The sequence below is a fragment of the Homo sapiens genome, chromosome 20 (genome assembly GCF_000001405.40).
Source record: "Homo sapiens chromosome 20, GRCh38.p14 Primary Assembly".
NCBI lineage: Eukaryota > Metazoa > Chordata > Mammalia > Primates > Hominidae > Homo > Homo sapiens.
Genome location: NC_000020.11, coordinates 13,392,187 through 13,404,846, shown reverse-complemented (window position 1 = coordinate 13,404,846; position 12,660 = coordinate 13,392,187). Strand labels below are relative to the sequence as shown.

Genomic DNA, 12,660 nt, shown 5'->3' with positions numbered 1-12,660 from the left:
GAAAAAAATGTAAATGAAAGATAAATTAAGAAATCAAAATTGATATAGAAATAGGTGTTTGACTAGAAATTGCAATTTATTTGAGATATTTTTCTTTTATTCTTAATCATTTTGAATGTGATTATGTATGTAAATCTTGATGTGATGACTATTAACTTTTGTCAGCTTTAATGTCTGAAAACCTCATAAAATCATCCTATTTACCTAAATAATGCAATTTATTTATTTACTTACTTACTTTAGAGACAGGATCTCACTGTATCACCCACTTGGAGTGCAGTGGCACAATCATAGCTCACTGTAACCTCAAATTCCTGGGCTCAAACGATCCTCTTGCATCAGCTCCCCAAGTAGCTAAGACTATAGGTACACCACCAGGCCTGGCTAATTTTTAAATGTTTTGTAGAGATGAGGTCTTGCTATGTTGCCCAGGCTGGCGTAATCTCAAACTGTTGGCCTCAAGCAATACTCCCGCCTCGGCCTCCCAAAGCACTGAGATTACAAGTGTGAGCCACTGCACACCTGGCCTTTTTATAAAACTTTAATAAGATCTTCTTGGGCCAAGGGTAAACCCTCACAAAGCTAAATAATTTTCCTACATAACTTTAACTTTGTTCACAAAGTTATGTTGAGTGAACAAAGCCAGACATGAAAGAGTACTAAGTGAATTATTCTATTTATATGAAGTTTAATAACTGGCCCAACTAAGCTATGGTGATAGAAATCAGAAAGTGATTGCTTCAGGAAAAGGGCATGAGGGAATTTGGGGGCAGTAATAGAAATGTCCTGTGTGGAAAATATTCTCCTTAGGATTTGGTTTCATGGGGATACAAATCATTAAAAATCATCAAACCCTTTACTGAACATCTATGCACTTTATTGTGTGTAAAATCATACCTCTGTTTTTTGAAAGTCTTAAAAATGATATTAGCTAGACTATCTGGGTTTTTGTTTTTGTTTTTTACGAGATAGGCTCTTGCTCTGTCATCCAGGCTGGAGTGCAGTGACCCGATTATGGCTCACTGTAACCTCAAATTCCTGGGTTCAAGAGATCCTCCAGCCTCAGCCTCCCTAGTAACTAGGACTGCAGGGGCACACCTCACCTGGCTAATTTTTATTTTATTTCTTGTCAAGACAGGGTCTTGCTATGTTCCCCAGGTAAGATTGTCTTTAAAGAGGCATGTAATGATTGACAGCATGGGCTTTAGAATTAGTCAGACTTGGATTTCAATCCTGGAGTCCCTGCTTTATAAGCCGGGGCAAGTTACAACTTTGATCCTTAGTTTCCTCATCTATTGATGCTTTGATAGAATTCTGAAAATTAGTTGAATAATAAAAATGAAGTGCATGTAATAGATGCTGCATTTGTTATGATGGGTGGTGGTGGCAGCAGTAGTGGTGGAGGAAGGAGGTGATGGTGGAAGTTGCAGGGAATTTCTCAGGACCATCACACCACAGCTCCACAGGCCCCATTTACACTGCAGTTATGCTCCCAAAGGTGGCATTTATATTGACTATGACAAGAGTGATGCCACCTGAATTTTCACCGTGCTCCTTTGGTGGAAATGGTAATGGTTATTACATTTTGACAAAATGCAACTCTAACTTGCAAGTTAATGTTAATAAGTTAATAAGTTAATGTTAATAAGTTAATAAGCCAGCTGGTAAGTGAATTCAGAGTTCCCAGAACAGGAAAAAAAAATTGTTGGAAGCTACAAGAAAAGACACTCCTCCCTGAACCCTGCAATTCAAGCCAAAATGGTGGCAAAGGAGCTCTTTCTAAAAACTATCTGATAGAGGTCTACCACTTTGACAGCGCCACAACTTAGGTTTTTAAATCAAACCTAAGGTGTGCCTTCAGCATTTCTTTTAAGCTCACCCATCCAGGTAATTTTCCTTTTGAAAGAAGAAGGGAGAATATTCCTTACTAGCTGTGTTAAATTTCTCTTGTGTGAACCTTGATTACAGGCAATCTTCTTGTATTCCACTGAGCACTGGGCAGTGGAACACCTACAGGATGTATTGACCATGAATCCCTTAAAAGAGACTTCCATTTCACAATAGTGGCCAATGGCATTTAGTCATTGAATGGATGTATCCAGCTAAATAGATTTATTGGACCATATTTTAGATTTGACAGGAAACACCTAGATACAAATTGGCCTTAGTCTTAACCAAATTTTAACTGCTTTTGATAATCTAGTTCTTATATTATCCAACAACTAAAGGCATCTGATCCCTGGCGGGAAGCCAACTGCCTCGGGATGGTAGTTGAGGCGCCACCAATAAACCTATATACTAAGAAAACATCCGAGACAGCCAAGTTTGGCAAGTGCACTTATAAACCACAGGAAAAGTGGCTAATCACTGATTTTACTTGTACCTTTTAAGTTTGCCCAGAATTTGAAATGTAGAAACTTGTGTTTCTTTTTCATGCTCTTAGGGCTGCCAGGATGATCCCATTGGGTCTATTTAGAAAGTCATTTGCACAAACAGGAAAAGACTGCAGAAGATTGAATGTATGAAAAACAGTTTCCTCAGCCTCAAGTTAATTTCTAACAGTCGTTGGTAATTTTATTTTTGCCTAATTAGTCTTACATCATTAATTTCTTCCAAATGATTCATTCAACATTGCTCCAAAGCAATAAATAGAAAAACAAAGAGGGAATTTACTGTGTTGTTAAGAGTATAAGTCTTCCCAGAGGTGCGAATAATATGTATTCAAATTATTCTCATTTTAATCATGGTGTAGGGTAAGATCTTTGCAAAGATAAATGTCTATTTTAATCTATTACTTGACTTGTAGACCCTCCATGTTAGTAGAAATGAAGTGGATGAACTTCTTTATTTTAGCAACATGAAAAGTAATGAAAACATTAATTTCTCTATCTCCACATACGTATGTAGTTATCAGTCACAGATGTGAACCTAACTTAGAATATCACCTTGTTACCTTCTAGTACCCAACATTTTAGATAAATATGTATCTTCCCAGCCAGACTCATGCCTGCTGTTTGCTCACAGGACATATAACCATGACATGTAAATGAGACAAATGTACTTAAAAATGATTGACTTTATTATGAACAGGAAATGAGTAATGATTATCTATGGTGTTTTTGTTTTTTGGTTGGGAAGCAGTAGCCAAATGATGAAAGGAATTTTCTCTTGTTTTTTCAGTCTCAAGACAAAAACTATAATCTTGGTCATGTCATTGTTATTTCATGTTAACTTACTAACTTGAGAAAAGATATTGGTTTCTATGATTATAAATATTGAGAATCCCCCATTGATTTTATGATGTAACAACTTTTATTACATTATTTTATTAAATGGGTGAGTTACAGATGTGGAATCTACTAGGTATATCTTATATGTGCAGGTACTAATGACAACACAGGGCCCAACACATAGTAGGCATTTGGTGGACAGCTCTTTAATGAGTGACTGCATGTTGAGCTTTAGGGTAGAACTTTGAGTTAGGATGGTGCGTAGATATAACATTTTGTTCCCACTGTCCTTTCTTCCCAGTAATCTCCAGATTTAAGATCAAAAGCTGTATTCATCATAGCAGCTTTGAAAAAAATTAAATATATATAAAATACAAATTATATGGAAAAATTTTACACAGATTTAAACATTTAAAATTTTATGTTAAAATATGATTTTTAAGTTCTGGATTGTTTTCTCCTATAAGAGCAGATGATTTGGCAACACTGGGACCCACTTCCTATGTGGCAGTGATTGGTTAGAGCCAGGTGGTAGCCGCCCTGTTTGGTGAAGCCTGGGCGCTTCACTTCCACAGTCCTACACCTGACCTGCTTCACAGGCATTTGAGACTAACCCGTGTTGTAGATTTTGAACCCTAATCAAGTCTATCTGTTAGAATACATTTTTATTCCAGTATGATTCATCCAAATAATATAGTTTATGTTTTTTTAAAAGTCTTCATCTTGGAGTGCTTGTTCTGTTTAATCCTAAGGATTAGAATTTGTTTGTGATAGTTACAATGTATGACTTTTATGTTCTGTAAGTAAAGCAATACTGAAAATTTGTGAAAACTTAACATTTTAGTATTCACTAATTGAGACATTTGGCTATGGTTGCGCTGTTCTCTCTATTTACATTTCTTTCAAATACTTCTGGATGCAGTAAGTGGTAGGTACTGACAGTTTGCTTTTATGCTCTTGAGCTGTCATCACTGTACTGTACATGTTTGGACTGCACTGTCTGCTGCAATGTTGAAGCGATAAAATGAAACTTAATTTAGGATGAGGGTTATATTAACAATTCACTAGTAGGAGATGCTCAGAGTACTTGGAAATAGATCTTTCTTCATTTGAAATAGAAAATTAATGTTATTTTAAATGTGCTTCCTAAAACAGATTAGAACCCCAATAATTCTTTGATTTCTTCCATTGATGGCTTTTGTGAATATCATGGTAAAATTTTGAACAGTTAAGAGTTAGGGTTATTACAGTAGCTAATAATGACTGACTAAGACGGAAGCCTTATTACTTGGCTTGAGATTTCAGCTATTAAAAAACCTCAGTTTACTTAGGAGTAAAAGTTTGATAAAACACAGTATCTCATTTTTTGAATGAATTATTTATTAAATACCATTGAGTGCCTTCTATATTGAGGTACTTTTCTGGGGACATCATAGTGAACCAAGCGACAAGAATCCCTGTACTTGAGGACTTACATACTGGTGGGGGAAATAACGAACAAGATAAGTAAGGCCTATACTATGTTTGTGATAAGTGCTAAAAAGAGATGTGAAGCTAGGGAAGGGGTTAGGAGGTACAGGGATTCCAGCGTTAGGTAGGTTTCACTTCAAAGGTGTCATTCGAGTAAAGTCTTGGAGGATTTATGGGAGCAAGGCAAGAACATTCCAGGCATAGGGAATAGCAGGTGCAAACACTCTCAAGTAGGAGTGTGCCTGGTGTGTTGGAGGGACAGTGAGAAGGCCGGTCTTAGTGGGTCAGAGTAGGCAATGGAAGGTCAGATAGATTACATAGTTTTTTATCCATGGTCAGTATTTGGGCTTTTCCCCTGAAATGGGAGCCACTGGGGAGTAATGAGCAGTGGAATGATATGAACTGACTTACATCTTAAGAGGTGACTCCAGCTGCTGAAAGGGAGGCCGGGTGGAAGGTTGTTGCCATAGAGGTGAGTGATAATAATGACTTGGACTAGAGCATTATCCACACAGGTGGTGAGAAGTAGTTGGCTTCTGTGTGTATTTTAAGATAGAGCCAATGGGATTTGCTGTTGGGTTGGATAGAGATATGAGGGAAATAGAAAAGGCAATGATGACTCTTAAGATTTTGGCCTAAACAGAAGAATAGAATTGCCATTTACTAGGGTGAGGAAGAAGGTGAAGTTGGGGGAAAAGACTTGAGGGGAAGTAGCAGAAACTCAGTTCTGGACATGTTAATTTCAAGATGCCTGTTAGGCATCAAATGGGGAGGCCCAAAAGGTAGCTGGATATGTGTGTCTGGAGTTTAGGAGAAAGGACTAAGATGGAGATACATATTAGGGAATCTCAGCATATAAACATTTTTTTAAAAAACATTTGGATGAGATCACCAAGGAGGTGAACACAGACAGGAGAAAAGATTCCTGGGGAAATTTTGTACTTATAAGTTGGGGAAGCAACCAGGGAGACTGAAAAGTTATAATCATAGAGGTCAGAGGAGAACCAGGTGAGAGTGGTGTCCTAAAAAACAAGGGAAAAGGGTGTTTCAAGGAGAAGCAGGTGATCAACTTTATCAGATGCTGCTGCTGGGCCTTGTGAAATTAGATTTGAGGACAGGCTATTGGATTTGGCATTGGAAGTCATTTCTTATTTTGATAAAGAGGGGTTTTGGTGGAGAGGTGAAAGCAAAAAGCTGATTATAGAGGGCTTAAAGAGAAAATGGAAGGAAAGAATTTGAGGTAATAGGTGTAGAGAACTCTTTCAAATAACTTTGCTGTAAATGGAAGTAAAGAAATGGAGTGGCGACTGGAGGAGGAGGTTGATCTATGGAGTTATTATTCTTACCTCAATTTCCAGTGCAACCAGCTGCTTCACTTTATATCCAAAACACTTCATAGACATTTTTCTTTAAAATGAGTGGAAGAAAAGTAGTCTAACTGTTGAGTCTTTGGACATTCCAACATTTAGTTGCTGGGGAGATGAGGAAGAATCAGCAAAGGAAAGTGAGGTTACGTTTTGGAGTAAAATAAAAGGAAAGTTTCAGCATATTTTTTGTAGTAGTTCCAGGTACAGCTAGTATTAAAGGAAGGCATTCCTTGACATTTGGGATGAACTAACTTTGACAGAGTCACACAGGTCTTTTGAATGCAGGATGTCTGAACCTTTCTGTGCTCATGTGCCTGTCTGGCTCTAAGAAGGGTAGAACAAGGTGGAGCAATACACTTGCAGCTTTTGCCCATGCTCCCGCACTGCCCCCCGCTTTTTTTTTTTTAAAGAGAGAGCACCTGCCAGGACCCAGCAGAAGTCAGCTTGAGAAATGCTGCTTTCTGGGTCTCCGTGCCTTAACAGTTCTTTGGGGGCATGGGTCGGATCAGTAAGTCAGGAAGCACAAGATTTTGACAAAGAGAACTTTCTTCAAATCAGTTGTTGGTGGTTTGTATTTTTCCCCTCCAAAATTCCTCACTGACAGATTAACTGAGATTCTCAGGAAATTGTCCATTACACAAATGGAGAGTAGCCTCATTCTTAATGATAGTTTAAGTGTTAGCCTTTCATTTCTTTTCAAATAGAAGATGCTCTTTTCAAACTATAGTAAGATTCATGTTATCTGGCAGCTTACCAACCAGAAGACCATAAATGACATTTTGGGTTTCACCTAGTACAAATCATCAGGATGTTGAGGCCAGGTTCCCTATGAAGAGGAAAAGACAGTTCCCTTGGGCTGTCTTGACCAAGGAAATGGTGACCCATAGCCTCCCCTTACAGACCTGAAGGGAAACCCTCAGTAGTAAAACTCCGTAGAATGTCAAAATCAGAAAGAACTCTGAATATAATTGAGTTGAAGTTTTTCACTTTTACCGAAAAAGACATTGAAACCCAGAGAGCCAGTGATTTCCCGATCCAGAAACTATCCAATCTATCAACAGCAGAGTTGAGGCTCAAACCGATTTCTCTGAGTCCCAGAATCATCTTGAAATTTGTTGGTAAGATTTGTTCCAGTAGCTTTCCTGAGCAAGCTCTGATTCACCCTGAAAACCTCCTGCAGTTAAAGGCATGTCTCTTAACAGAGCCAGATTTAGAATCCTCCTTCATGGTAAGTCTTCAGGGGGAGTCAAGATAGCCCTAAATTTGGAGTTCAGAGGCTTTCATTCACATCTCAATTTTTCCACTTCCTCTCTGACCATAAGCAAACCACATTATCATTCTGTCTCATTTTTTTTTTCATCTGAAAAAAATAGGTATAGTATACATCTTTCTGTCTGACATGGTATTTTGAGGGATCTCATTGATGCAAAAGTGCTATGGAAACTAAAGCATTATGCAAATATAGGGACTTATTGTTAAGATTTCACAAAGAACTAGTTTCTGCATCCTGCAAAGACATAATTGCACTTAGAGCGAGATCCATGTTTCATTCTTCTGTTCCCCCATAATAACTTGCAGAATAAATATTTGTTAAATAATGGAGCACTTTTATCACCTGTAGCAAGAGGGAATATTCATGATAATTCTCCATGTGAGTGGTGAAATAATAGTTACTGTGGGGCTTGCCATGTTTATGTGAGTATCTTCACTGGGCTTTTAACCTAAAAATAGGAGGGAACTCTTGTCTGATGTTGCCTCTGACTGAAGTGTGGTGTCAGTGAGCCTGGTGATAGTAAGAACCAAAGTGGCCTGTAGGCTGGAAGAATATGCTGTTCTCATCAGACAGCATTTTAATCTTATTTTAAGGCTCCTTAGACATGATATTTGTATGTGAGAACAATAGAACTTTTTGCCCTGTATATATCCCTGTTTCAGTGCTAACAATGAAATTTACCCGAATGTCATCTTTGTGTTTCATCTGGCATCCTTGTTTTCAACGTGGAGAATGAGGTATGAGCGACACACAGTAAGATAAATAACATATGGCATTCCTTTCTCATTCTGTTGATATTTCTGATTGGTTGGCTGAACTCGGGAATTGTATCTTCAAATTGCTCTGGCCTATTTAATACTTTTAATTTAAGACAATGAGAAAATAGAAGTAAATACTTTTTTTTGATTCATTAACAATGTATACACAAGCTAAATGAAGTCAGCATCAGAGATTGTCCAAACTCTGAAAGGATGCTCTAGAGACCATCTAACCCAGTCTTCATTTTCCGTTGTCCAATATCACACAGGCTTAGTAAGTGGGCACCCAGATCTTTTCACCCATAGTTAATGGATTTTTATTCTATAAAATATACACATTATTCTAGACTATATTAAGAAGGTTCATGTGAAACTGTCAGCTAGTTGAGTACATCTGCTTTCAGGATGAAGTCTGACGACCAAACTCTATTTTTAGAGCAGTTAACTACATTCCAAGGTTTAATGCTGCACACAAAGAATGCTTAGAATATAGTTATTCACAAATTGTGTCTTTTTGAAAGACAGCTCTTAAAAAGCGATGGGTAGGGAACTTCTGGGAAAAGGATAGGGGTGGGTGGCAGTGTCTCCTGAGTCAACTCATTAAGAGAGAAAAAAATGTAAAAGCCCACAATAGAAACAAGGCAATAAAAACCAACCAGACACACTTCCCCAGCCCTTCTCTTGCCTTTCTCTCTGGACTTAGTCATTTAAGGTGTATCACGTTTGTGGCACTAAAAGACAGCTGAGGGTGGCCGGGCGCAGTGGCTCATGCCTGTAATCAGCACTTTGGGAGGCCAAGGCAGGCGGATCATGAGGTCAGGAGATCGAGACCATCCTGGCTAACATGGTGAAACCCCATCTCTACTAAAAAAAAAAAAAATTAGCCAGGTGTAGTGGCACGCGCCTATAGTCCCAGCTACCCAGGAGACTGAGGCAGGAGAATCTCTTGAACCTGGTGGGTGGAGGTTGCAGTGAGCTGAGATCGCGCCACTGCACTCCAGCCTGGGTGACAGAGTGAGACTGCGTCTCAAGAAAAAAGAAAAAAAAAAAAAAAAGAAAGCTGAGGGTGACTATTATCATGTCAGGCAAGAATTCACAATGCAAGGATGTAAGGTACTACCCAGTTCACAATACAGTCTCACAGTACCATATACCATATTTACATTGCCCAAGTAGTGATAAATACAGAAGAGAAGCTTAACTTGTTGTTAAATGGATTTTTATTCTATAAACTATACACAGTATTCCAGATTATATTAAAGTTCATGTGACATTGTTAGTGCATGAAAAATTAGATGTTTTCTATGACTCAGCAATTTGAAAAATAAGTAAGAATTAACAGGAGAAGGGAAAGTGGTGGAAACAGATATCTGTTTCTTCAAAAGCACGTGGTAACATAAAATTGAGCTGAACACACTTGTCTCAGGAGGCTAGAGTCCTGCTTTCCAGGAAGGAAAATGCCCATGCAAACAACTTTACCCTAGTGTTTTTCATGTTCCTCCTTGTGCTGGATTTGTCAGAATGTTATTAATGCAGCACTATACAACAAATGGACAAGACTCAAGGGCCCCCATTTGACTGCTGTTTAAGTTGCTCATGCCTCCAATGATCTCTCTCTGGAAGAGGACTTTTAAAATTAAGTTGTGTGCAGTTTTCCTAGAAACCATACAAGAGCAGTTTCTAAGGTGGTCTTGGAAGATCTTAACATTGAGTATGAATGACAGGAAATTTTAGCTACTACTTAGATTGTGATTAGGTTATCAGGCAATTATATACTTTCTATATTACTTTTCTCTTAATTTTCTTATTTTAAAATCTTCGAGCTAAATTTGTTAATCCATTGTATTTGGTTTTATAAAAAGATATAGCCCTAATATTGGCTTTGAACAGTCAGTTTAATTTATAAGTTGATAGTTTTTCAAGGGGTGTTAACCTCAAGAATCTGTCTGTGCTTCTTAGGGAATTAGCAAGAAAGCGGCAAATTATAACTACACGGCCAGTGGATCCCATTGGTGTGGAGCTGTTTGCATCTGAGAATCTAAAGCTCCATCTCTATTCTAACAGTGCCATCAACTGGAAAGTGGAAAATTTTAGTTAGTCTATACTTTAAAAAAAAAACAAAGTTTCTTTTTTTTTTGAGATAGAGTCTCGCTCTGTCGCCCAGGCTGGAATGCAGTGGCGCGATCTTGGCTTACTGCAAGCTCCGCCTCCAGGGTTCACACCATTCTCCAGCCTCAGCCTCCCGAATAGCTGGGACTACAGGTGCCTGCCACCACGTCCGGCTAATTTTTTTTGTATTTTTAGTAGAGACGGGGTTTCACCATGTTAGCCAGGATGGTCTCAAACTCCTGACCTCGTGATCCGCCCGCCTTGGCCTCCCAAAGTGCTGGGATTACAGGCGTGAGCTACCGCACCAGGCCTTTTTTTTTTTTTTTTTTTTTGAGAGGGAGTGCTGTAGTGCAGTGGCACGAGGTTGGCTCACTGCACTGGAGTGCAGTGGAGTGCAGTGAGAGGTTGGCTCACTGCAACCTCTGCCTCCTGGGTTCAAGCGATTCTCCTGCCTCAGCCTCCGGAGTAGCTGGGATTACAGGCATGCACCACCACACCCAGCTAATTTTTTTTGTATTTTTAGTAGAGGTGGGGTTTCGCCCTGTTGGCCAGGCTGGTCTCGAACTCCTGACCTCGGGGGATCCGCCTGCCTCAGCCTCCCAAAGTGCTAGGATTACAGGCGTGAGCCACCACGCCCGTCCAAAAAAATCTAAGATTAATCTTTACTATGGCAAACTAGTATGATTCACTTTTCAGCCAAACAGATTGGTCATATCAGTTAAAACACTTAAAATTCTTTTCCCCCCCACACCTTTTTTTTTTTGGCTGAGCGCAGGGGACTTTATTCATGGTATACAACAGGGTGGGGCTCCCTAGGCCCCTCCCTCTTCAGGGTGTCTGCATGGACATTGTGAGGAGGGGAGATTCTCAGTGTGGTAGGGGACTGAGTGTGGGCAGGGACTCCCAGCAGCTGAGGGCCTCTCTCTTCCTTTCATGCTGTCGCTGGGGCTGGTGGTCCAGGGGTCTTATTCCTTGGAGGCCATGTGGGCCATGAGGTCCACCACCATATTGCTGTAGCCAAATTCGTTGTCACACCAGGAAATGAGCTTGACAAGGTGGTTGTTGAGGGCATTGCCAGCCCCAGCATGGAAGATGGAAGAGTGGGTATCACTGTTGGAGGAGACAATCTGGTGCTCAGTGTAGTCCAGGATGCCCTTGAGGGGGCCCTCTGACACCTGCTTCACCACCTTCTTGATATCATCATATTTGGCAGGTTTCTCCAGACGGTAGGTCAGGTCCATAACTGACACATTGGCAATGGGGACATGGAAGGCCATGCCATTGAGCTTCCTGTTCAGCTCGGGGATGACCTTGCCCACAGCCTTGGCAGTGCCAGTAGATGCAGGGATGATGTTCTGGAGAGCCACACAGCCCTCATGCCACAGTTTCCCGGAGGGGCCATCCACAGTCTTCTGGGTGGCAGTGATAGCGTGGACTGTGGTCATGAATCCTTCCATGATACCAAAGTTGTCATAGATGGCTTTGGCCAGGGGTGCTAAGCAGTTGGTGGTACAGGAGGCATTGCTGACGATCTTGAGACTGTTGTCATACTTCTCATGGTTCATGCCTATATAAACATGGGGGCCTCAGCAGAGGCAGCAGAGATGATGACCCTTTTGGCTCCCTGCTGCAAGTGAGCTCCAGCCTTCTCCATGGTCGTGAAGATACTGGTGGGCTCCATAATGTACTCAGCACCAGCATGGCCCCATTTGATTTTGGTGGGATCTCACTCCTGAAAGATGCTGATGGGATTTCCATTGATGACAAGCTTCCCATTCTCAGCCTTGATGGTGCCATGGGATTTGCCATGGGTGGAATCATATGGGAACATGTAGACTATGTAGTTGAGGTCAAGGAAGGGGTCACTGATGGTGAGAACATCTGCTTTACCAGAGTTAAAAGCAGCCCTGGTGACCAGCGCCCGATACTGCCAAATCTTTTTACTTTGGCCTTCACCTTCACCAGGGATGTGGCTAGCACTGCATGAGAAGATGCGGCTGTCTCTTGAATGGCAGGAGCAGGGTGCCTTAAGATTCTGCATGTTTACATAAACATAGCCCTAGAATGGTCTATTTCAGTCATTTACCCACTCAGCATTTCCGGAGTAGTATGCTTCTGTGTGAAACACATGGTCAGGTACAGGGAAACTGAGATGTATGTAACAAAGCTTCTGCCCAAAACCGACTTTCAATTACAGAAACCTAAAGATTCAAAACCAAGACTGGATGAGAAATGCTCATATGGGTGCTATAGGAGCTAAAAGAAGAACTTCTAAGTTGAGTTGGGTGCCTGGTCAAGGCTTCCCTTGAGAAAAAGCCAGAGACATGGTATCACAGAGAGATGTATGAGCAGGGCATGTAGCAAGGAGTGGAGGGAGATGACCCAAAATAGATGTCTGCTGCTTTTTCATGTATCATTTTAATGTGTTATTTCCCATTAGTTCCAAATTCCAA

The 12,660-nt window shown here is 40.4% G+C and overlaps 1 protein-coding gene and 1 pseudogene across 17 annotated transcripts in view; one reads left to right on the top strand and one right to left on the bottom strand.

Annotated features, from left to right (window-relative positions):
- Positions 1 to 12,660, top strand: part of TASP1 (taspase 1) — a 534,161-nt gene that overhangs the window by 234,086 nt on the left and 287,415 nt on the right. The window lies entirely within an intron of this gene.
- On the bottom strand, positions 10,970 to 12,233 carry GAPDHP2 (glyceraldehyde-3-phosphate dehydrogenase pseudogene 2; annotated as a pseudogene).